Consider the following 24,256-nt stretch of genomic DNA (forward strand, 5'->3'; position numbering starts at 1 on the left):
ACATTCTAGGTGGTGGTCTGTGGGTGTTCACTGTAAAATTCCTTCAACTTTTGTATGTTTCACGTTTTTCGTAACTGAATGTGTAGAGGGGGAGTCTTCTGAGACTGGCAAGTGACTGGGCATAACCTTTCCGATTAAGGGCAGAGGGCAAGGCAGAGCTGGCACGCCTCCCTCCACCCAGTTCTACCTAGATCGGCCCCAAGGGAAGCAGCAAAGAACCCAGGAGAGCAGTAACTTGCCCGGGCACCGCCCCGCCCAGCATCAGGCCCCAGAATACAGAAGAAACTGGCAGAAACACTATGGAACGTCCCTGCCCCCGGGCCCGCCAACCCCCTCACTGGGACAGGTTCTCAGCCCCAGCTGCGCCCGGGAATGATCTGGGGAGCCTACTAAATGCAGATTCCTGGGCAGCGCGACGGAACTACAGCATCCCAACACCTGGGGTGGGCCCCAGGAATCTGCCCGTTTCCCAAGAGCCCCAGGTGGTTCTGACGCAGAGGATCTTGAGCCCACCTTTGGAGGAACTCACAGCCACTCGCCCCACCTCATCTAACACCTGTTGAGAAGCCCCCCAAGGAACTCGCTAAGCCAAGGTCCTCGAAGGCGCGACTCCTAGCCCCAAGCTAGGCCAGGCCGTCGCCATCTCCGCCGGGGATGCGCGGCCGAGCGCCACATCCCGACTCCACACGTCGGCGAGCCGGGCGCGGGTGCAGGACACTGCTGGGCTCCGGGACGGCCAAGGTCACCCGCGGGGCTCGGCAGGGGCTGGCTCGGCCACGGGGCTCCTCCTCGACCCCCTTTCCTTGAGAAAACAACTCCCACCCCTCCCCTCCCCGTCTCGCCCTGCAAGACGGAGATGGCAATTTCCACAACCTTCCCTGACGGAAAAACGTGCGGGCGAGCAGGCTGCCATTCCGGGCGCACAACCCCGCGGCACACAGCGGGGCGCCCGCCCGGGCCCCGCCACCGCAGCGGCTTCGACATCCCCAGGGCCGCGCTAGGTCTCGGCAGCGCCCTGAGGGGAGGACGGGCCCCGCCATGCCGCGCCCCAACCGCCGGCCCCGCTTTACCTCCAGAAGCCCGGTGCCCGAGGCCGGCCGAAAGCGGAGAGGGGCCCGGGTCCGGACAGGCGCCGGCAGAACAAGACCCTCAGCCCCGCGCGGCTTTGCGCGCACAACGAAACCCCCCAACCCACCGCCCACCCCACCGCCCAGAGGCTTCTAGGACTTGTAGTCCGCCCGGTCACCCCCCCCACCACAACCCGCTCTGAGAGGCTGGGGACTACGGTGCCCGGCATGCACCGCCCAGGCGCCGCGGGCGGGGGCGGGGAGGGGGCGCCACGGTCCGAGGTCACGCCCCGACCTGAGGAGAGCTGGCGCCCAGACCCTTCCCCCGGGGAGGAGGGCTCCCGCGCGAAGCCGTCTCCGAATGCGTCCAGTCGACTCACCGTCCCCGCAGCCCTGGGGCAGCGGCCGCAACAGCAGGACCGAACGCCTCGGCAGCTGGCAGTCGCACTTCTGTCACAAGGAGGCGGGTAGACTTTGGACCAGGGCCGAGGCCCGGGACGTCACGGTGGGGGGTGGGGTCTCGGGAGGCACGTGATGCGCCGTGATGACGTCAGTGGGAGCGGAGGCGATTTGGCCTAGAGCTGGGGCTGAGCACGTGGGATGGTCGGGGCCTGTTTGCCCAATGTACACGAGGCTGGAGAATAGGGAAAGAACCGTCCCTGTGAGCGCCTCCTCTTCACTCATGCCAGCAACAGGGCAGGGCATCTTCCTCCAGGGCTGCATTTTTTCTTTTATGCGACTAATATTTATTGAGTTTGGGAGGTGCATTACATAAAACCTTGAACCACACGGTCACTGTCCCTGCGCTTGAAACTGCCTTTGCAAAAATTACAACAGAAAATTATGACAGTGAAAGAGAGCTGACCTAACCCACTCCATCTTGCTTCTAACCTCCAGGTTGTCCTTGTTCATTCCTAGGCATAGGCAGAACTAACTTTGGGAGCAACTTAGTTTATAGTTTAATATTGAAACAAAGATAGTTAACAGCCCTTTCCCAAAACAAACCCCCTTGTTGCCTGAGAACCAGGCTTCCTTTGTAAGAGTAACACGTTAGCTACAAGATTAGACATTATAGTTTAGGGCCCAGCTCAGTGGCTAACGCCTGTAATCCCAGCACTTTGGAAGGCTGACGCAGGTGGATCACTTGAGGTCAGGAGTTTGAGACCAGCCTGGCCAACATGGTGAAACCATGTCTCTATTTAAAAATACAAAAATTAGCCGGGTATGGTGGCACGCACCTGTAATCCCAACTACTAGGGAGGCTGAAGCCCAAAAATTGCTTGAACCCGAGAGATGGAGGTTGCAGTGAGCTGAGATTATGCCTCTGCACTCCAGCCTGAGCAAGAGACTGAGACTCCATCTCAAAAAAAGAAAGAAAGAAAGAAATTACGGTTTAGGAGTCATGCACCCAGAGGCCACAAGATTCTAAACCTCCCCAGTTGATCCTAGGTATAATATCACTATTGTAAAACCTAAGATTGGTACTCTTAGGTGTTTTTCTGACCCTGCAGTCTGATGCACCAGCCAAGGCCACCTAGAGCTGTAATCTGACTCAACCAGTTCTTGCATCCTTCAACACCCTGTGATTTCATCTCCCACCCCACCAATCAGCACTCCCTACTCCTTGGCAGCTTATCTACCAAATTACCCTTTAAAAACTCTAGGCTCTGAATTTCCAGGGAGACTGATTTGAGTAATGAAACTTTGGTCTCCCATTCAGCCAGCTCTGTGTGGATTAAACTCTTTCTCTATTGCAGTTCCCCTGTCTTGATACATTGGCTCTATCTGGGCAGCCAGGAAGAAGAACCCACTGGGTGGCTACTTGCTCAGGTACTTCCTTTGTTACAGACAGTATACAAGGAAACCACAAAATGCCCAGGACTGTGAAGGAGAGGAAGGGACGCCCTAACAGAGTTACGGGGTGGTGCCACTAGACAGGTTGGTTAGAAAAGGCCTCTCAGAGGAGGCGATGCTGAGGCAGGGGCATGAAATTGAAAAGACATTCTATTCTGGAAGGGCATTCCAGAGGGAGGGATTGCCTTGGGTGAGAGAGTCAGAAAGGTGAGGATGTCAGTGGGGCAGGCTGGATCCAAGTCATGTTGAGATTTGTAGGTCATTTTAAGAACTCTGGCCAGGCGTGGTGGCTCATGCCTGTAACCCCAGCACTTTGGGAGGCCGAGGCAGGCAGATCACTTGAGGTCAGGAGTTTGAGACCAGCCTGGCCAACACAGTGAAACCCCGTCTCTACTAAAAATACAAAAATTAGCCCGGCATACACGCCTGTAATCCCAGCTATTCGGGAGGCTGAGGCAGGAGAATTGCTTGAACCTAGGAGGCAGAGGTTGCAGTGAGCCAAGATCACACCACTGCTCTCCAGCCTGGGAGACAGAGCAAAACTCTCTCAAAATAAAATAAAACTCTGGATTCTTCTTTCTTTTTTTTTTGAGATAGGATCTTGATCAGGCACCCAGGCTGGAGTACAGTGGCATGATCATAGCTCACTGTGACAACTCCTAGGCTCAAGCAGTCCTCCTGCCTCAGCCTCCCAAGTAGCTGGGATTACAGGCATAAGCCACCATACCTGTCTGCAGTTTGGATTTTTTTTTTTTTTTAGATGGAGTCTCGCTCTGTCACCAGGCTGGAGTGCAGTGGCTCGATCTCGGCTCACTGCAACCTCCGTCTCCCAGGTTCAAGCAATTCTCCTGCCTCAGCCTCCTGAGGAGCTAGGACTATAGGTACCTGCTACCACGCCTGGCTAATTTTTGTATTTTTAGTAGAGACTGAGTTTCACTATGTTGGTCAGGCTGGTGTCGATCTCCTCACCTCGTGATCCGCCCGCCTCTGCCTCCCAAAGTGCTGGGATTACAGGCGTGAGCCACCGCGCCCGGCCTGGATTTTATTTCAAGTGGAATTTAAAGCCCTTGAAGAGTTTTAAGCAGTAGAGTTACAGTCAATCTTCATTATTTATGGATTTTGTGTTTGCAAATTTGCCTACTCACTAACATTTATTTCTAATCCCAAAATCAATACTTGTGGTGCTTTCTCATTCATTCATGGACATAACGATCCTGCACATTCTCCACTGAGGTCAAATAAGGCAACACTGGGCTGTCATGGTGGCACTCGCCTTCTATCCCAGCCACTCGGGAGGCTGAGGTGGGAGGATCCCTTCAGCCCAGCAGGTCGAGGCTGCTGTGAGCTGGGATTGTGCCACTGCACTCCAGCCTGGGCAACAGAGTGAGACCCTGTCTCTAAAAATAATAGGGCAGCGCTGCCTACAAGTCTCCTTTTTGGTCTATTTAGTGTCATCTTTTTCTCATTTATTTTTACGCTTTTTATTGGTGATTCTGGTGTTTAAAATGGCCCTTAGTGTTGTGCAGAAGTGCTGTCTAGCATTCCTCAGTGCAAGAAGGTGGTGATTTGCCTTATAGAGAAAACAGCTGTGCTCAGTTAGCTTGGTGCAGGCAATTGAGTTCAATTGCACTGAATCAACAGTGTATATTAACTAAGTTGCCTTTAAACAGAAACACCTATAAACAAGGTTATTGATTGGTTGACAAAAATGTTGTGTCCACAGGCTCACAGGAACCTAGGTTGTTCCCCCAGAAGCAGTGGTTCAGTGTTTGCTTAATTCAGTGTTTGTGGCCACTTATATGATTCGATTGACATTTCACAGGATCATCTGACTACAGTGTGGAGAATGGTTTAGACCAAGAGAGGCAAATAGAAGGCTGGGCGACCAGCACATATGTAATCCAGAAATTTCCAGGCTGGTCCCTGTGGCTCACACCTGTAATACCAACATTTTGGGAGATTGAGTTCAAGAGTTTGAGACTAGCCTGAGCAACATAGTGAGTCTCCCATCTCTACAAAAAAATTTATAAAATTAAAAAATTAGCCAGCTGTGGTGGCTCATGCCCATAGTCCCACCTACTCAGGAGGCTGAGGCAGGAGGATCACTTGAGCCCAGGAGTTTGAGACTGCAGTGAGCAAGAATTGCGCCATTGCAGTCCAGCTTGAGCAACAGAGTTAGACTCAGTCTCTAAAAAAATAAATAAATAAAAATTTGAAAATAAAAATTTCCCAGTAACCACATTAAAAGTATAAAAAGACACAGGTGAAATTAATTTTAATAATACATTTAACTCAATATATGCAAAATATTGTTTCAGTAATCAACATAAAAAATTATCAGCCAGGCGCAGTGGCTCATGCCTGTAATCCCAGCACTTTGGGAGGCCAAGGTGGGCAGATCACCTGAGGTCAGGAGTTCAAGACCAGCCTGGCCAATATAGTGAAACCCCGTCTCTACTAAAAATACAAAAAATTAGCTTGACATGGTGGCAGGCGCCTGTAATCCCAGCTACTCGGGAGGCTGAGGCAGGAGAATAGCTTCAACTGGGAGGCGGAGGTTGCAGTGAGGCAAGATCACACCATTGCACTCCAGCCTGGGCGACAAGCAAAACTTTGTCTCAAAAAAAAAAATTATCAATGATATATTTTACTCTTTTTTCACACTGTTTTTGAAATGCAGTGTGTACTTTATATTTACAGGACATCTCAATTTGGAGCAGTCACATTTCAGGGGCTCAGTAGCCACATATGGCTTGTGGCTACTGTATTGGACAGCACAGATCTAGAATATTTATTCATTTACTCATTTGACCAAGCAAGGTCCTGTTCTAGGCCTGGAAATACACAAAATGGAATAAAGCCCCATCTCTGTCCTCAAAGCGCACACAGTCCAGCACGGGAGACTAATATAATAGCTTATGTTCAAGATGTCAAAACAGAGTGCTTTGAGAGTTCAGGAGAGGGAGTGCCCGAACAAGGAAGGCTTCAGAGAGGAGGACGTTTAAGTTGGGGCTTGAAGGATGTGTAGGATTCCCCAGGTGAAAGAAGTGGGGTAGGGTACTCCAAGTAGTTAGAGCTGCTAATGCAAAGTTGCAGAGAAATGAAACACAGAGTGTGTGGGGAAATGCAAGCAGTTCTGTATGGTTGGGTGGTAGGATATGAAAGAGGAGGGCAGAGGGTGAGGAAACATGAGGGCCTTATAGACCAATCTGTGGAATTTAGACTGTATCCTATTGGGTAGGTAGTGGGTGATGTAATGTTGAGAATTTTGGGCTGAGTAATATGACTAGATTCTTGTTTTATTTTAATTAATTAATTAATTTATATTAAAATAGAAACAGGGTCTCACTAGGTTGCCAGGCTGGTCTTGAACTCCTAGGCTCAAGTGATCCTCTCACCTTGGCCACCCAAAGTGCTGCGATTACAGGCATGAGTCACCATACCTAGCCATGATCCGTATTTTATTTATTTATCTTTGTTTTTATTTTTATTTAAATTTTATTTTATTTTGGGACAGAGATTGCAGTGGCGCGATCTTGGCTCCCTGCAGCCTCTGCCTCTTGGCAAGCGATTCTTCTGCCTCAGCCATCCAAGTAGCTGGAATTACAGGCACATACCATCACAACTGGCTAATTTTTGTATTTTTAGTAGAGACAGGGTTTCACCATGTTGGCCAGGCTGGTCTCAAACTCCTGACTTCAAGTGATCCTCCCACCTAGGCCTCCCAAAGTGCTGGGATTACAGGTGTGAGCCACCGCACCCCGCCAGGATTCATGTTTTAGACAAATCATTCTGACAGTGTGGAGGGGGTGCAAATTTGAGGCAGGAGGACCCACTGGGAAGGGAAGGGGCTCTAGGATGGATCCAGAGGAAGGACCTGTGGAAACTAAGGAGGGGTCATAGAGGGGGTAGGGCCTAGGGTAGGCAAAGGGTTGGTCCCAAGTGTCCCATGCAGTAAAAGTCAAATAGAACAGTCAACGTGAACATTACCATGCTATGTACTGGGTGAAAACTTGCTGATCTCTGGAGCCCACTGAGTAGCGGAGGGTTTGAGAGCCAGTGAGAACCAGAAATGTAGTGAGCTGGAACTGGGTTCAAGTCTTAGGACACACCACTTCACGGCCCTCTCCAAAATATTTCATTTTTCTGGCTGGACGCAATGGCTCACTCATGTAATCCAAGAACTTTGGGAGGCCAAGGCAGGCAGTTCACTTGAGCACAGGAATTTGAGACCAACCTGGGCAACATGGCAAAACCCGGTATCTACAAAAAATACAAAAATATTAGCTGGGTGTGGTGCACGTGCCTGTGGTCCCAGCTACTCCAGAGACTGAGGTGGGAGGATCGCTTAAGACCGGGAGGCTGGAGTTGCAGTGAGCCTGGTGATCACGCTGCTGCACTCCAGCCTGGGTGACAGAGCCTGACCCTGTCTGAAAAATAGGTATATTTAATTTTTCTGACTACCAAATGAGGGTAAACCTAATAGCAATTTCACGGGGCTGTTGCGAGGATGGGATGGCTTAATGCATTTAGGTCACTGCTCATAGTGCCTGGCACACAGCCAGCCCTCAGACCAATGGCAGCTGGTATTATTTGTTAGCCTCTGAGTGCTCTGGGCCTCAGCTCCCTCACCTCCAAAAATGAAATTGTCATCTCCCACTTGCTGTTGACGGGAACTGGGGACTAGATGAGACGATTGAAGTGTATATGCAAACGTAAAGGCGGTATTCCTCGAAAGATTGAACGTAGAGCCACTATGTGACCCAGCAGTCCCACTCCTAGGATTGCACCCAAGATAAAACACACAGCCGCATAAAAACCTATAGTACACGAATATGCATAGCAGGTATTCATATCATAGCATGGATGTTTATATTCATAATAGCCAAAAAGTCAAAACAACTAACAGGTTCTCCATGACCAGACATTAGTTGGGTGCTCCTCTCTAATGACCAGACGTTAGTTGGGTGCTCTTCTGAATCCTCTCCCCCGCCAGACCTCAATTTTTGGACTTCTGTATCTGTCTTTGCGTCACTCAGTTGTTTGTTTAGGGACAGGGTCTGTTCTGTCACCCAGGCTGGAGTGCAGTGGCGCGATGATAGCTCACTGCAGCCTCAAGCTCCTGAGCTCAAGTGATCCTCCTGTCTCAGCCTCCCAAGTAGCTGGGACTACAGGTGCATGCAACCACAACCAGCTATATATATTTTTTAATTTGCTTGTTGCCCAAGCTGGTGTCAACTTCCTGAGCTCAAGCGATCCTTGTGGCCTGGCCTCCCAAAGTGCTGGGATTACAGGCGTGAGCCGCTGCACCTAGCCAAGCCGGGTTTCAGCAAGAATTCTGTTAAATTGATTTAGCCAGAATCGCCCCTGCATATCTGTCCAAATTTCACAACCCCCATCATCCTCCAGGTGATATTTGATCACCCTGACCTGCCTTCAGCAAGACTCTTGTTAGACTCAATTTAGCAAAGAATTACCCTCCTCTCCTAGTAACTTTCCATCCACCAACAGCACCCACCTCCCACTCCTTGGCTATCAATCTCTATTTTCCCTTGTTGTATTCGGAGTTGAGCCTATTTCTGTACTGAGGTCTCTTTTCCCCTATTGCAATAGTCCTGAATAAAATTTGTTTTTACAGCTTTAATTACTGTCCAGCTCTGGTTTTCTTTTTCTCTTTTTCTTTCATTTTTTTGAGACAGAATCTCGCTCTGTTGCCCAGGCTGGAGTGCAATGGCGCGATCTCAGCTCACCACAACTTCCGCCTCCCAGGTTCAAGCGATTCTCCCGCCTCAGCCTCCCGAGTAGCTGGGACTACAGGTGCACACCACCATGCCCGGCTAATTTTTGTATTTTCAGTAGAGATGGGGTTTCAGCATGTTGGCCAGGCTGATCTCGAACTCCTGACCTCATGATCCGCCCACCCTGGCCTCCCAAAGTACGGGGATTACAGGAATGAGCCACCATGCCTAGCCTCTTTCCTTCTTTCTTTTTTTTTTTTTTTGAGACGGAGTCTGGCTCTGTCACCCAGGCTGGAGTGCAGTGGTGTAATCTCGGCTCACTGCAAGCTCCACCTCCCAGGTTCACGCCATTCTCCTGCCTCAGCCTCCCGAGTAGCTGGGACTACAGGCGCCCGCTACCGCGCCCAGCTAATTTTTTGTGTTTTTAGTAGAGATGGGGTTTCACCGTGTTAGCCAGGATGGTCTTGATCTCCTGACCTCGTGATCTGCCTGCCTCGGCCTCCCAGAGTGCTGCGATTACAGGCGGGAGCCACCGCGCCCGGACTTTTTTTTTTTTTTTTTTTTTTAAGACACAGGGTCTCACTGTGTTGCACAGGCTGGAGTGCAGTGGCGGCAATCATGGCTCACTGCAGCCTCGACCTTCCAAGCTCAAGCGATCCTCTTGCCTCAGCCTCCTGAGGAGCTAGGACTACAGGCATGTGCCATTATGCCCAGCTATTTATTTGTTATTTTTGTAGAGACAGGGTCTCACCGCGTTGCCCAGGCTGGCCTCAAACTCCTGGGCTCAAGCAGTCCTCCCATCTTAGTTAGCCTCCTAAAGTGCTGAGATTACAGGCATAAGCCACCACACCCAACAGCTCTGGTTTTCTTTGACACAACCAAATGTTCATCAACTGATGAATGGATAAACAACGTGTGATCTCCATATAATGGAATATTATTCATTCCATAAAAAGGAATGAAGCACTGATCCGTGCTACAACGTGGATGAACCTTGAGAACACTCTGAGTGAAAGAAGCCATCCATTTCTCTCTTTTTTTGTCTTTTTTCCTTTTTGTGGAGAATAGGGTCTCGATATATTGCCTGGCAGGTCTGTAACTCCTGGGCTCAAGCTATCCTCCTGCCGCTGCCTTCCTAAGAGCTGGGATTATAGGCATGAGCCACCGCCCCCGGTGAAAGAAGCCCTTCCTAAGTGAAAGAAGCCAGTCACAGAAGACCACTTATTGTTTTTCTCTTCTGAGACAGCGTCTCGCTCTGTCGCCCAGGCTGGAGTGCAGTGGTATGATCTTGGCTCACTGGAACCTCGACATCCCAGGTTCAAGCGATTCTCCTGCCTCAGCCTCCCAAGTAGCTGGAATTACAGGTGTGCCCACCACCACACCCAGCTAATTTTTGTATTTATGGTAGAGATGGGGTTTCACCTTGTTGGCTAGGCTGATCTTGAACTCCTGACCTCAAGTAATCCACCCACCTTGGCCTCCCAAAGTGCTGGGATTACAGATGTGAGCCACTGCGCACGGCCCACTTATTGTGTGATTCAGTTTACATTAAATGTCCAGAATAGGCAAACCCATAGAGACAGAAAGTCAGAAAATAGATTAGTGGTTACCTAGGGCGTGGGGAGTTCAGGCGAAATGGGAGGTGAGTGCTAATGGGTACAGGTTTTCTCCTCTCCTCTCCTCTCCTCTTTCCTTCCTTTCTTTCTTTCTTTCTCTTTCTTTCTGTCTTTCTTTCTTTCCTTCCTTCCTTCCTTCCTTGCTTCCTTCCTTCCTTCCTTCTTTCTTTCTTTCTTTCTTTCTTTCTTTCTTTCTTTCTTTCTTTCTCCTTCCTTGCTTCCTTCCTCCCTCCCTCTCTCTCTCTCTCATTCTCTCTTTCCCTCCCTCCCTCCCTTCCTTCCTTCCTTGAGATAAGGTCTCCCAGTATTGCCCAGGTTAGTCCAAACTCCTGAGCTCAAGCTGTCTTCAGTCCTCCTTCCTCAGCTTCCTGGGTAGCTGAGATTACAGGGGTGAGCCACTGCACCCGGCTGAGTTTTCTTTTTAGGGTAATGAAATGTTCTAAAATTGATTGTCATGGTGTTTGCAACTATCTGCAAATATACTAAAAGCCATTGAATTATACATGGATGGATTGTATGTTAGATGAATTATATCTTAATAAAGCTGTTATCAGAAAAGGAGGGGCAGGGCTACACAAAAAGCCGCTCCGGGAGAATTCGGACATGTGATGAAATAACAAAGTAAACGCAGGCCCGGAGACAGGACGATGTTCCTCATGTTCCTGCCTCACTCGCTGTCAGATCAGGAGCCCACGGCTGTCCTGAATGGCATTATTTTCAGGCTTGCAGAGGAGCTGCTTGTGTCACCTTTTCCTGGGCAACGTTCACTTTCTGCAGAACGCAGCTCCTCCTCCCTGGCACCCAAGGCGCGCCTCTGAGACTCACATCGGTACTGCAAAGCCACCACCTCTTATTTTTAGTCCAGATTTCACCATAATTGGGGCAGCAGGAGTGCTGTAGGCCCGGGACATCTTCAGTGACAGGTGTCTTTCTACCTCGTGGCACCTGCTACCAGAAGACCATTCTCCCACCAGTGGGGGAACACCTGCTGACCTTCAGCAGAGCCAGCCCATGGGGCTCCCAAGAACTTTTGCGCCTAAAAGTATGAAAAGCAGGAGCTCAGCTGGGCGTGGTGGCTCATTCCTGTAATCCCAGCCCTCTGGGAGGCCAAGGCAGGTGGATCACCTGAGGTCAGGAGTTTGAGACCAGCCTGGCCAACATGGTGAAACCCCATCACTACTAAAGATACAAAAATTAGTCAGGCGTGGTGGTGCATGCCTATAATCCCAGCTACTCGGGAGGCTGAGGCAGGAGAATCGCTTGAACCCGGGAGGCGGAGGTTGCAGTGAGCCAAGGTTGCAATGTCACGCCATTGCACTCCAGCCTGGGTGACAAAGTGAGACTCTCAAAAAAAAAAAAAAAGAAAAGTGGGAGCTCTTCCACTTTCTCTATAACCAGTGCCATCTGCTGGCAACACAGTGGCACTGGGGATGTGGTGGAGTCCCTTCCTTGCCTTTCCTTTCCTGTCTTGCAGTTTGCATTACAGAGACCGAGGGGTGATGTTTATCTCTCTTAGTTTAGTTCTTTTAGGCCAGAGTTAAAATAAGACCCGAGTCTTATATGGAGACCCTATTAAAAAAAGTGCATATGAGTGTTAAGGTTGAAGAATTTTCACAAACCTCACTCACTATTGCAACCAGCACCACATCAAAACAGAACACCAGGCCGGGCGCGGTGGCTCACGCCTGTAATCCCAGCACTTTGGGAGGCCAAGGTGGGTGGATCACAAGGTCAGGAGATCAAGACCATCCAGGCTAACACGTTGAAACCCCGTCTCTACTAAAAATAGAAAAATTAGCCAGGCGTGGTGGCGGGTGCCTGTAGTCCCAGCTGCTCGGGAGGCTGAGGCAGGAGAATGGCGTGAACCTGGGAGGCGGAGCTCGCAGTGAGCCAAGATCGCGCCACTGCACTCCAGCCTGGGCGACAGAGCAAGACTCTGTCTAAAAAAAAAAAAAAAAAAACAACCAACCAGAATACCAGCTGGGCACAGTGGCTCACACCCGTAATCCTGTAATCTCAGCACGTTGGGAGGCCGAGGCAGGTGGATCATCTGAGGTTAGGAATTCAAAACCAGCCTGGCCAACATAGGGAAACCCCATCTCTACTACAAATACAAAAATTAGCCGGGCAGGGTTGCGGGCGCCTGCAATCCCAACTACTTGGGAGGCTGAGGCAGGAGAATCGCTTGAATCTGGGAGGCAGAGGTTGCAGTGAGCCAAGACCTGGGCAACACAGAGAGACCCTGTCTCAAAAAAATAAAACAAAATAAAATAAAAAGGAGCCTGGCATCTCCCCACTCTCTTGCTCTTCTCTCACCATGCAACATGCCGACTCCCCTTCGCCTTCCACAATTTGAAGCTTCCTGAGGCCTCACCAGGAGCAGATGTTGGCGCTGTGCTTTGTGTACAGCCTGCAGAACCGTGAGCCAAAACCTCTTTTCTTTATCAATTACCCAGTCTCAGGTATTCTTTTATAGCAATGCAAATGAACTCATGTACTCACTTTGCCTGTTTCTGTATCTTCTGTTATTGAGCTGGTTAGAGCACACAGTGGGTAATTTTTTTTTTTTTTTTTGAGACAGTTTCACTCTTGTTGCCCCCGCTGGAGTGCAATGGCATGATCTCAGCTCACTGCAACCTCTGCCTCTCGGGCTCAAGCGATTCTCCTGCCTCAGCCTCCCAAGTAGCTAGGATTACAGGCACCCGCCACCATGCCCAGCTAATTTTTATAATTTTAGTAGAGACAGGGTTTCATCATGTTGGACAGGTTGGTCTCTAAGTAGTGACCTCACGTGATCCGCCCATCTCAGCCTCCCACAGTGCTGAGATTACAGTAATTTTTGTAATACAAAACCCCAGAGCATTTTGAATGCAGTTCTGCACATCAGAGCAAACACTGACTGGTCCAAGGAGGTACCTCTCTCCTCCCATGTTCTCTCCTTCCTCCTTGGCCCCCTCTCCAGCATCAAGCTAATGCATTGTTGCCTTGAAAGCCTCAAACAAAATCATGTACTCATTTTGGGAGATGCAGCTAACGTCAGTGAGCACTTTGTGCTGGGTACCATGCCACTCTCCTCACCTCCCTTCATCTCAACAAGGAACCTGCAAATGTTTACCTCCAGCTCCTAAACCTACGTGGAGGGTTTAAGGCACAGGCTCAGGGCCACACAACGCATGCCCAGCAGACCCCAGGTCTTGTGGTTCTAGCCTCATGGTGCTGCTCACTGCCCAAGCTGCTCTCCTGGCATGGGTGTGAGTCAGCACACACTGAGGTGAGAGAAGAAGCTGTTATATTCAGGCCAGATTTTTTTTTGCAAAAATCTTTCTTTACACGCAGCAAGAACTGGGAAGGAGCCCACTGGAGCTGAGCCAGCAAAACCCAAATGGAATCCACGTTGTTGGCCTCTTAATTTGTTTGAATCATTGCAGATTCCCAGAACTTTGATACAGAAAAGTGCTCAGGGTCGGGCGCGGTGGCTCACGCCTATAATCCCAGGACTTTGGGAGGCTGAGGCCAGAGGACCGCTTGAGGCCAGGAGTTTGAGGCCAGCCTGGCCAACATGGTGAGACCCATCTCCGCAATAATAAAAATAATCAGCCAGGAGAGGTGTTGCACACCTATGGTTTTAGCTACTCGGAGGGTGAGGCAGAAGGATTGCTGGAACCCAGGTGTTTGAGGCTGCGTGAGCTGCGATCGCACCACTGCACTCCAGCCTGGGTGACAGTGAGACCCTATCTCAAAAAAAAGAAGTGCCCATATTAGAAGCGAATGGCTTGATGAATTTTCCCAAACTGGCCACACCAGCGTGCCCACTCCCCTACAGCTCAGCTTCATGCTTCCTTCCAAGCATGAGGTCACCCAAGGATAACCACTCGCCTCACCTCCAACACCTAAGATTTGTTTACTCCATTTCGGGACTTTTGTTTGTTTGTTTGTTTTTGAGACGGAGTCTTGCTCTGTCGCCCAGGCTGGAGTGCAGTGGCTTGATCTTGGCTCACTGCACGCTCCGCCTCCCAGGTTCACGCCATTCTCTTGCCTCAGCCTCCCCAGTAGCTGGGACTACAGGCACCCGCCACCATGCCTGGCTGATTTTTTGTATTTTTTTAGTAGAGATGGGGTTTCACCATGTTAGCCAGGATGTCTCCATCTCCTGACCTCGTGATCTGCCCACCTCGGCCTCCCAAAGTGCTCAGATTATAGGCTTGAGCCACCGCGCCTGGCCATTTGTTTCTTTTTAAATTCTGGGATACATGTGCTGAATGTGCAGGTTTGTTACATAGGTGTCCATGTGCCATGGTGGTTTGCTGCACCTATCAACCCATCATCTAGGTTTTAAGCCCTGCCTGCATTTGGTATTTGTCCTGATGCTCTCCCTCCCCTTGCTTCCCCCACCCCACGACAGGCCCCGGTGTGTGACATTCCCCTCCCTGTGTCCATGTGTTCTCATTGTTCACCTCCCACTTATGAGTGAGAATATGCGGTGTTTGGTTTTCTTTTCCTGTGTTAGTTTGCTGAGGATGATAGTTTACAGCTTCATCCACGTCCTTGCAAAGGACATGAACTCATCCTTTTTTATGGCTGCAGTTTGGGGACTTTTTATAGCAATGGTTTCATACAGCATGAACCCTTTTATGTATGTAATTCCGCTCAATTTTATATCAATGAAAGTTGGCCGGGCGCGGTGGCTCACGCCTGTAATCCCAGCACTTTGGGAGGCCAAGGCAGGCAGATCACCTGAGGTCAGGAGCTCGAGACCAGCCTGGGCAACGTGGTGAAACCCCATCTCTACTAAAAATACAAAAATTAGCCTGGCATGGTAGCATGTGCCTGTCATGCCAGCTACTTGGGAGGCTGAGGCAGGAGAGTCGCTTGAACCCAGGAGATGGAGGTTGCGGTGAGCCGAGATCGCGCCATTGCACTCCAGCCTGGGCGACAGTGTTAGACTCTGTCTCAAAAAAAAAAAAAAAAAAAAGAAACGAAAAGAAAAGAAATTCATCCCACTATTACATGTAGTTGTCTTTGTTCATTCTCACTGCTGTGTTATAGTCTACTGTTTGAATATGCGATAGTTGGATGGGAATTTTTAGCTACTATGAGTAGTGCTGTCACAAACATCCTTGTGCATGGTGTATGTCAATTCCTGGTGGGTTCCGGTCGAGGGCTGGACTGGCTGGGTCACAGTGTGTGCAATTTTTCAGCATTGCAGACCCTGCCAAACAGTTTTCCAAAGTCTGCTAATTTCTGCTCTGTCAGAGCAGATGAGAGATCTGTTGTTCATATGCTTGCCAATGCTTGGTGTTGCCAGAACTTCACATTTAAATGCTAAATTATTCTAAAAGAAACATGAATGGTTACAGTGTTAACATTTATTTTATAATATTTCTATCATTAATATGGCCCCATGAGAGTTGACAGCTCCTTCGGAGCTATCATCCATTTAGCAAACACTTACTGAGCACCTACTGTGTGCAGGGATCTGTGTTCTGATACTAGAAAGACAGAGAAGAAAGAGAAGGTCTCTATTCTGAAAGAGCTTCAGGAATGCCCTCTCTTCAGGTCTCAGCTCAGATGTCACCTCCCCAGAGGAGCCTCCTTGGGTTACCTTTGCCCAGCTGTTATCTCATTGTCTGCCTCCACGCCTGGCTGAAGAGCCAGGTTTTGTGGATGGACTGGTAATGACCTCTGCAGAAGCATCTGTTGTGAAGTAGGAACATGGGATTGATTCACAAGCAGCATCCCTGAAAATATCCCACTGTTCAATTCAGAAGGCGTTTTCCTGGACTCTTGCTCCCACAGTTCTAACCATTGGCAAGAGTGGCTGCCAGATCAGTTCTGGTCAAGGAGCGATTTGTATTTTGTTTTATTTGAGATGGGGTCTCACTCTCTTGCCCAGGCTGGAGTGCAGGGGTGTGATTCTGGCTCACTGCAGCCTCGAGTAGCTGGGATTACAGGCACACACCACCATGCCCAGCTAATTTTGGTATATTTTTTAGAGATGGGGTTTCACCGTGTTGTGCAGGCTGGTCTCACGCTCTACTCCTGGGCTCAAGCGATCTGCCTGCCTCAGCCTCTTGAGTAGCTGGGATTACAGGTGTGAGCCACTACGCTCAGCTAATTTTTTATTTTGTAGAGATGGTGTCTTGCTATGTTGCTCAGGCTGCTCTCCAACTCCTGGATTCAAGCAACCCGCCCACTTTGGCCTCCCAAAGTGCTGGGATTACAGGCATGAGCCACAGCGCCTGACTGCAAGAAACGTTTTCCATCAGCACTGGCCTGGCATGTTACATATGTTATTTCTAGCCGCCATGTTTTATTTCCCCATTTAGCAGAGAGGGAAGCTGAGGCTCAGAGAGGTTAAGTCACTTGCTCAAGATTCCACAGCTGGTGCAAGGATTTGCCTCCCCACCTGCATGAACTCAATGTGGAATCCCTCAGCAGGGCTCCTGCTGTGTGGCGCGGGACCAGGAATGTGGGATCACAGTGCTGGCTGGGTTGGGAGTCAGGGCTCCCGGTGTTAAGCCGAGAGTGTCCCTGCAGACTTTCCCAGGAGACAAGCAGGCTGGGATTCTCTTGTCCCAGAACTGACCAAGCAGAGCCTGACCATACCTCATATCTCCACGCAGCCTCCTGGTCCTGTGGCAGCTGGCTCTTGGCCATGTCCTTATGATGTCAGAGCAGGGCTGAGACCCTGTTTGAGAGCACAGGGGTTGTGAAGAGCCCAGCTCAAGCGGGGAGCAGAGCAGGGTCTGGTGAGGGCACCGTCACTTGGGTGGGCAGGGACATGCAGGGCCTAGAAAGGACAACGCCCTTTTTTTCTTTTTCTTTTTCTTTTTTTTTTTGAGACAGAGTCTTGCTCTGTCGCCCAGGCTGGAGTGCAGTGGTGCGGTCTCGGTTCACTGCAAGCTCCGCCTCCCAGATTCAAACGATTCTTCTGCCTCAGCCTCCCGAGTAGTTGGGATTACAGGCACCCGCCACCATGCCTGGCTAATTTTTTGTATATTTTTTGAAGTAGAGACGGGGTTTCACACTGTTAGCCAAGATGGTCTCAATCTTCTGACCTCGTGATCTGCCCGCCTCGGCCTCCCAAAGTGTGGAATTACAGGCGTGAGCCACCGCACCCAGCCTATCGCCCTTCTTTGTTTGAGACGGAGTCTTGCTCTGTCACCAGGCTGGAGTGCAATGGCACAATCTTGGCTCACTGCAACCTCTGCCTCCCGGGTTCAAGTGATTCTCCTGCCTCAGCCTCCCGAGTAGCTGACTACAGGCACGCACCACCATGCCCAGCTAATTTTTGTTTCATCATGTTGGCCAGGATGGTCTCCATCTCTTAACCTCATGATCTGCCCACCTCAGCCTCCCAAAGTGCTGGGATTACAGGCGTGAGCCACCGCGCCCAGCCGACAATGCCCTTCTTACCACCTGGGCTCTCCTTCCCAGAAAATGGAACACTTGGCCAGGTGTGGTGGCTCACACCTGTAATCCCAGCGCTTTGGGAGGCTGAGGCAAGCAGATCACCTGAGGTCGGGAGTTTGAGACCAGCCTGGCCAACATGGTGAAACCCCATCTCCACTAAAAATATAAAAATTAGCTGGGCGTGGTGGCAGGCGCCTGTGATCCCAGCTACTCAGGAGGCTGAGGCAGGAGAATCGCTTGAACCCAGGAGGCGGAGGTTGCAGTGAGCGGAGATCGCGCCACTGCACTCCTGCCTGGGTAACAGAGAAAGACTTTGTCACACACACTACACACACACACACACACACACACACACACACACACACACACGAGAAAATGGAACACTGTGGGGGGCCTTTGGATGCGTCCAGAAATGAATGTAGTTCTTCAGATTCTTTTTTTTTTCTTTTGAGACGGAGTCTCGCTCTGTCGCCCAGGCTGGAGTGCAGTGGCACGATCTTGGCTCACTGAAACCTCCACCTCCCGGATTTAAGCAATTCTCTGCCTCAGCCTCCAGAGTAGCTGGGATTACAGGCACGTGCCACCACGCCTGGCTGATTTTTGTATTTTTAGTAGAGGCGGAGTTTCACCGTCTTGGCCAGGCTAGTCTTGAATTCCTGACCCCGTGGTCCACCCGCCTTGGCCTCCCAGAGTGCTGGGATTACATATGTCAGCCACTGTGCCCGGCCTTTTCTCTTTTCTTTTTCTTTTCTTTTCTTTTTTTTTTTTTTTTTGAGGCAAGGTCTCACTCTGTTGCCCAGGCTAAGTGCAGTGGCACAATCATAGCTCACTGTAGCCTCAAACTCCTGGCTTCAAGCAATCCTCCCACCCCATCCTCCTGAGTAGCTGGGACTACAGATGTGCGCCAGCACATCCAGCTAATTACAAATTTTTTTTTGTAGAAACAGGGTCTCACTATGTTGCCCAGGCTGCTCTCGAACTCCTGGCTTCAAGCAGTCCTCCCGCCTTTGCCTCCCCAAAGTGCTGGGATTACAGGCCTGAACCCCCACACCCACCCAGCCAGTACTTCAGATTCTTATCTCTTTGTAAAACCTGGGTCTTCCTAACTCCAAGAAACCTGTCTTCTGCCCGGATTCGAGAAAATTCCAAGGAGGGAGCTGCCTCTCCATCCCTTCCATATGTGCTTCTAGGAAAAAGTTACCAGTCTCACATCACCAGAGGGCTTGAATGAAGAGGCTGCCATCAGCTATTCAAACATTCATCCAATATTAACTGAGCACCTACTCTGGGTGAGGCTTACCAGGGAGCACCTGCCCCACTCCAGACTTTGAATTGCGCCCGTTTCATCACATTCTTTGGTGTCCTGGCAACCAGAGACTCTGATCTGAGCTCCAGCCAGAACAGAGGCCATTCCTCCCTGACTGCTGTGACTCACCACCACCCCAGGCCTCTGAGGACCAGTCCATGTAGCTCTCGGAACCACTGAAAGCTACCCCTTGTCCTTGAGGACACCTGGAACCCCAGCCCCACTGACCCACCCTGGCAGGATGAGCTTCTCACTCACGTTCACCGAGCTGGCCAACATCGCCATCCCACAGTGCGGGGTGCTGAACTTCAAGGCCCTGCACCTCCTGCTGCACGGCATCTTGGAGCACATCCACATGGCCGAGCTCAAGAAAGTCCTCTCAGGCGATGAGGACTTCCTGCAGACCTCGCAGGTGGTCATCATGCCCAGGGAAGGAGACGCCCAGCCTATCCTCAACCCCATGAAGAGGCTCAGCAATGTCTTCGACCACGTGGTGAGCCGCCTCGACAAGTTGGAGAACCAGCTGGCCCTGCTGCAGGACCTGCCCTCCACTGCCCAGCTGCTGGAAGCCAGCCAGGGCACTGCCCGGCCCGTCCAGGACCTGTGGCATCTGATCAAGCTCCGGAAGATGGTGGAGGGTCATGATGAAGTCATGGCCAAGGTACGCCCCCAGCCTCCAGACACTTCTTTTCCTCCCTTCACCACTGGCTCTCTCCTGGGACGTCTTTTTTTTGTTTTTGAGACTCCGTCTCGCTCTGTCACCCAGGCTGGAGTGCAGTGGTGTGATCTTGGCTCACTGCAACCTCCGCCTCCCGGGTTCAAGTGATTCTCCTGCCTCAGCCTCCCTAGTAGCTAGGATTTCAGGCACATGCCACCACACCCGGCTAATTTTTGTATTTTTAGTAGAGATGGGGTTTCACTATGTTGGCCAGGCTGGTCTCAAACCCCTGATCTCAACTGATCCACCTGCCTCGGCTTCCTAAAGTGCTGGGATGACAAGCGTGAGCCACTGCGCCCAGCCTTCTCCTGGGACATCTTGTTGCTTACTCACCTACGATGGGCCATCTCCTTATGCAGAGTGGGAAGAAGGGTGCTTTAGAGTCAGGCACAACCAAAACGCCAAGCTTGCAGCCTCCATCAAGTATTGCAAAGAAGCCAGACACAAAAGGCTACCCAGTGTATGATTCCATTTATACGAAATGTCCAGAATAGGTAAATCCATGGAGACAGAAAGCAGTGGTTGCCAGGGGCTTGGAGGAGGAGAGAATGGGGAGTAATTGCTTTGTGGATATAGGGTTTCCTTTTGGGGTGATGAAAATGTTTTGGAACTAGATGGAGGTGGTAGTTATACAACCTCACTGATGTACTAAATGACACTGAATTGTTCACTTAAAAATGGCTAATTGTACATTATGTGAATTTCACCCCAATTTTTTTTTGAGACAGGGTGTCACTCTGTCATCCAGGCTGGAGTGCAGTGACTCAGTCATGGCTCACTGTAGCCTCGACCTCCCAGACTCAAGCAATCCTCCCACCTCAACCTCCCGAGTAACTGGGACCACAGGTGTGCACCACTGCACCTGGCTAATTTTTGTATTGTTTGTAGAGATAGGGTCTCCTTATGTTGCCCAGGCTGGACTCAAACTCCTAGGCTCAAGTGATCCTCCTGCTTTGGCCTCCCAAAGTGCTGGGATTAGAAGCGTGAGCTACTGTGCTCAGCCTTACCCCAATTTCTAAAAAATGCCTGGAGGAGCTACCATGGGAGAAGTACCAGAGTAGTCACGGTGAACAGGCACGCCCGGCCTAGCAGGGGAGATAGACACAAGTGAGTGAGAATCTCCAAGAACCAGCCCTGTGAGGAGCAGCAAAGAGGCATTCCTTCTGCCTTACAGAAGAGGAAACTGACGCTCAGAGGAGCTCAGTGATTGGCTGAAGGCCCAGCAGCTGGTGGGCAAGGGAGCTGCGCGCTGAGGCGTGGCCTCTGACCCTGGCTCACCTTTGACTGCTGACCCCTGCTAACCCCGACCAGCACGTGGACAGTGTTCAGTTACTGGCAGCCCAAGAAGAAATAAGAAAGGGAAAATAAGCCGAGCACAGTGGCTCACACCTATAATCCCAACACTGGGAGGCCAAGGCGGGATGATCACTTGAGCCCAGGAGTTCAAGACCAGCCTTGGCAGCGTAGTGAGACCTCATCTCTATAAAAAAATGAATAAATTAGCCGGGTGTGGTGGCGTCCACCTGTAGTCTTACCTCAGGAGGCTGAGGTGGGAGAATCACTTAACCCCAGGAGTTGGAAGCTGCAGTGAGTTGTAGTCACTCTCCTGAACTCCAGCCTGGGGGACAGAGCAAGCCCCTGTGTCTAAAAATAGTAATAATAATTTGGCCAGGCACAGTGGCGCACACCTGTAATCCCAGCATTTCGGGAGGCCAAGGTGGGTGGATCACCTGAGGTGAGGAGTTCGAGACAATCCTGGCCAACATGGTGAAACCCTGTCTCTACTAAAAATACAAAAATTAGCTGGGCATGCTTGCGTGCGCCTGTAGTCCCAGCTACTCGGGAGGCTGAGGCAGGAGAATCGCTTGAACCCAGGAGGCGGAACTTGCAGTGAGCCGAGATCGCACCACTGCATTCCAGCCTGGTGACAGAGCGAGACTCTGTCTCAAAAAAAAAAAAAAAAAAAAAATTAGCCAGGTGTGGTAGCAGGCACCTGTAATCCCAGCTACTCGGGAGGCTGAGGCAGGAGAATCACTTGAGCCTGGAAGGCAGGTGTTGCAGTGAGTTGAGATCGCACCACTGCCCTTCAGCCTGGGTGACGGAGAAAGTCTTGTCTCCAAAAAGGAGACCATCCAGCGATGACTGCCTTCCTATCCCTGGAGGCAGCATGTCCTAGTCCTCTCTGAGCCAGAACTGTGCCCGTTGGTGTGTCCAGCTGGATCTCCCTGGGAGTCAGGGCCATTTTCAGAGCGTTCCCAAGTTACCACTCTTCTCTTTCAAATTGAGGGGAAACTGGCTGGATGTGGTGGCTCACACCTGTAATCCCAGCACTTTGGGAGGCCGAGGCAGGTGGGTCACTTGAGGTCAGGAGTTCGTGACCAGCCTGGCCAACATCATGAAAACCCGTCTCTACTAAAAATAAAAATAAAAAAAAATTAGCCAGGCATGGTGGCGCATGCCTGGAATCCCAGCTACTCAGGAGGCTGAGGCACGAGAATCGCTTGAACCCTGGAGGTGGAGGTTCTAGTGGGCGGAGATTGCGCCACTGCACTCCAGCCTGGGCAACAGAGCAAGACTCCATCTCAAAAAAAAAAAATTAAAAATAAATAAATAAATTGAGGGGAAATTGACCTAACATAAAATCAACCATTTAAAAGTGGACATTAAACACTGAATTAATGAAAATTCGGTGGCACACGATATATTGACATTGTTGTGCAGCCAGCCACCTCTATCTAGTTCTAAGCCATTTCCATCACCCTGAAAGGAAAAAACCCTATTTCCCCTTTACTTCTCCTCCCTGCAACCCCTGACAACCACTAATCTGCTTTCTGTCTTACGGATTTGCCTATTCTGGACATTTCATCTAAAGGCATAATCTGTGTATTTCATAGAGACAGAAAGTAGATTAGTGGTTTCCAGAGGCTCAGGAAGGGGGGAACAGAGAGAGACTGTAACAGGGACGGGATTTCCTTTTAGGAGAATGAAGTGTCTTGGAAGTAGATAGTGGTGTACATACCAAATGCCCTCAAATTGCACACTTCATTTTTATTTTATTTTTATTTTTTTGAGACAGAGTCTCACTCTGTCATCCAGGCTGGAGTGGACTGGTGCAATCTCTGCTCACTGCAACCTCTGCCTCCAAGGTTCAAGTGACTCTCGTGCTTCAGCCTCCTGAGTAGCTGGAAATACAGGTGCGCGCCACCATGCCTGGCTAATTTTTCTTTGCATTTTTATATATATGTTTGTTTTTGAGATGGAGTCTCACTCTGTTGCCCAGGCTGGAGTGCAGTGGTGTGGTCTCAGCTCACTGCAACCTCTGCCTCCCAGGTTCAAGCAGTTCTTCTGCCTCAGCCTCCCAAGTAGCTGGGACTGTAGGTGCCCGCCACCACACCCAGCTAATTTTTGTATTTTTAGTAGAGACGCGGTTTCACCATGTTGGCCAGGATGATCTTGATCTCCTGACCTCGTGATCCACCCGCCTTGGCCTCCCAAAGTGCTGAGATTACAGGCATGAGCCACTAAGCCCGGCCAATACTAAAATATTTTTATACTTTAATATTATGGGTATTTTACCACAAAAAAAAGCAGAGATTGGCAGAATAGATAAAAAACAAACAAACACACAAAAAAAAAACATGACCTAACTACTATATGAGGTTTGCAAGAGACACATTTAAGATTCAAAGACACAAATAGGGCCAGGCACAGTGGCATGCACCTGTAATCTCAGCTCTTTGGGAGGCTGAGGCAAGAGGATCACTTGAGCCCAGGAGTTGGTGATTGCAGTGAGCTCTGATGGCCCCACTGCACTCCAGCCTGGGTGACAGAGTGAGATCCTGTCTCTACGAAAAAAAGACAAGACACAAATACGTTAAAAGTAAAATGATATAAAAAGATATTCCAGCGGGGCACAGTGGCTCACCCCTATAATCCCAACACTTTGGGAGGCTGAGGTGGGTGGATCACCTGAGGTCAGGAATTCAAGACCAGCCTGACCAACATGGAGAAACCCGTCTCTACTAAAAATACAAAATTAGTCGGATGTGATGGCACATGCCTGTAATCCCAGCTACTTGGGAGGCTGAGAACGGCTTGAACCTGGGAGGTGGAGGTTGTGGTGAGCCGAGATTGCGCCATTGCACTCCAGCCTGGGCAACAAGAGCTGAAACTCCGTCAAAAAAAAAAAATTAGCCTGGCGTGGTGGCGGGAGCCTGTTAATCCCAGCTACTGGGGAGGCTGAGGCAGGAGAGTCACTTGAACCCAGGAGGCAGAATTTGCAGTGAGCCAAGATCGCGCCACCACACTCCAGCCTGGGTGACAAAAGCGAAACTCCATCTCAAAAAAATTAAAAAATAACAAAAGATATTCCTTGCAAGCAGTGACCAGAGGAGAGTGGGATCTTCTCAGACAAGATAGACTTCAAGACAAAAATTGTTACTAGAGACAGGGCTGCCTGGGGTGGCTGAGGGCAAGTTATGAGGGCCTTGCAGGCAGGATGGGCAGATACCAGGATCCAAGGTGCCGGCACTCCAGAGGCAGCT

The 24,256-nt window shown here is 50.3% G+C and overlaps 2 protein-coding genes across 11 annotated transcripts in view, besides 3 other annotated features; one reads left to right on the forward strand and one right to left on the reverse strand.

The window, feature by feature from the left end:
* The window catches only part of CDIP1 (cell death inducing p53 target 1), a 28,105-nt gene extending 26,586 nt beyond the window's left edge, over positions 1-1,519 (reverse strand). For 4 of the 6 annotated variants that reach the window (NM_001199056.2, NM_001199055.2, NM_013399.3 and 1 more), the window contains exon 1: positions 1,448-1,519. The gene's annotated coding sequence lies outside the window, so the exon portion shown is untranslated. Of the gene's footprint in view, positions 1-1,070; positions 1,176-1,447 lie in introns of those variants that run through there. The other 2 variants (NM_001199054.2, XM_047434043.1) reach the window with 1 other exon arrangement.
* Positions 916-1,135: a silencer, noted in NCBI's record as "silent region_7152". NCBI's record gives its function as "represses an Ori minimal core promoter by ATAC-STARR-seq in GM12878 lymphoblastoid cells {active_cell/tissue: GM12878}" and the evidence as "EXISTENCE:reporter gene assay evidence [ECO:0000049][PMID:35858748]".
* Positions 1,146-1,435: a silencer, noted in NCBI's record as "silent region_7153". NCBI's record gives its function as "represses an Ori minimal core promoter by ATAC-STARR-seq in GM12878 lymphoblastoid cells {active_cell/tissue: GM12878}" and the evidence as "EXISTENCE:reporter gene assay evidence [ECO:0000049][PMID:35858748]".
* C16orf96 (chromosome 16 open reading frame 96) overlaps positions 1,347-24,256 on the forward strand; it is a 62,158-nt gene continuing 39,248 nt past the window's right edge. For 3 of the 5 annotated variants that reach the window (NM_001145011.2, XM_005255301.4, XM_005255298.4), the window contains exon 1: positions 19,086-19,655. In NM_001145011.2, the coding sequence (NP_001138483.1) occupies positions 19,236-19,655 (420 nt within the window). In that variant the 5' untranslated portion in view covers positions 19,086-19,235. Of the gene's footprint in view, positions 1,535-2,413; positions 2,898-18,629; positions 19,656-24,256 lie in introns of those variants that run through there. The other 2 variants (NM_001387219.1, XM_047434053.1) reach the window with 2 other exon arrangements.
* Positions 16,948-17,558: an enhancer, noted in NCBI's record as "H3K27ac-H3K4me1 hESC enhancer chr16:4604203-4604813 (GRCh37/hg19 assembly coordinates)". NCBI's record gives its function as "activates a minimal SCP1, AML or CMV promoter by ChIP-STARR-seq in naive H9 embryonic stem cells {active_cell/tissue: H9 hESC(naive)}" and the evidence as "EXISTENCE:reporter gene assay evidence [ECO:0000049][PMID:30033119]".

The sequence above is a fragment of the Homo sapiens genome, chromosome 16, assembly GCF_000001405.40.
Source record: "Homo sapiens chromosome 16, GRCh38.p14 Primary Assembly".
NCBI classification, from domain to species: domain Eukaryota; kingdom Metazoa; phylum Chordata; class Mammalia; order Primates; family Hominidae; genus Homo; species Homo sapiens.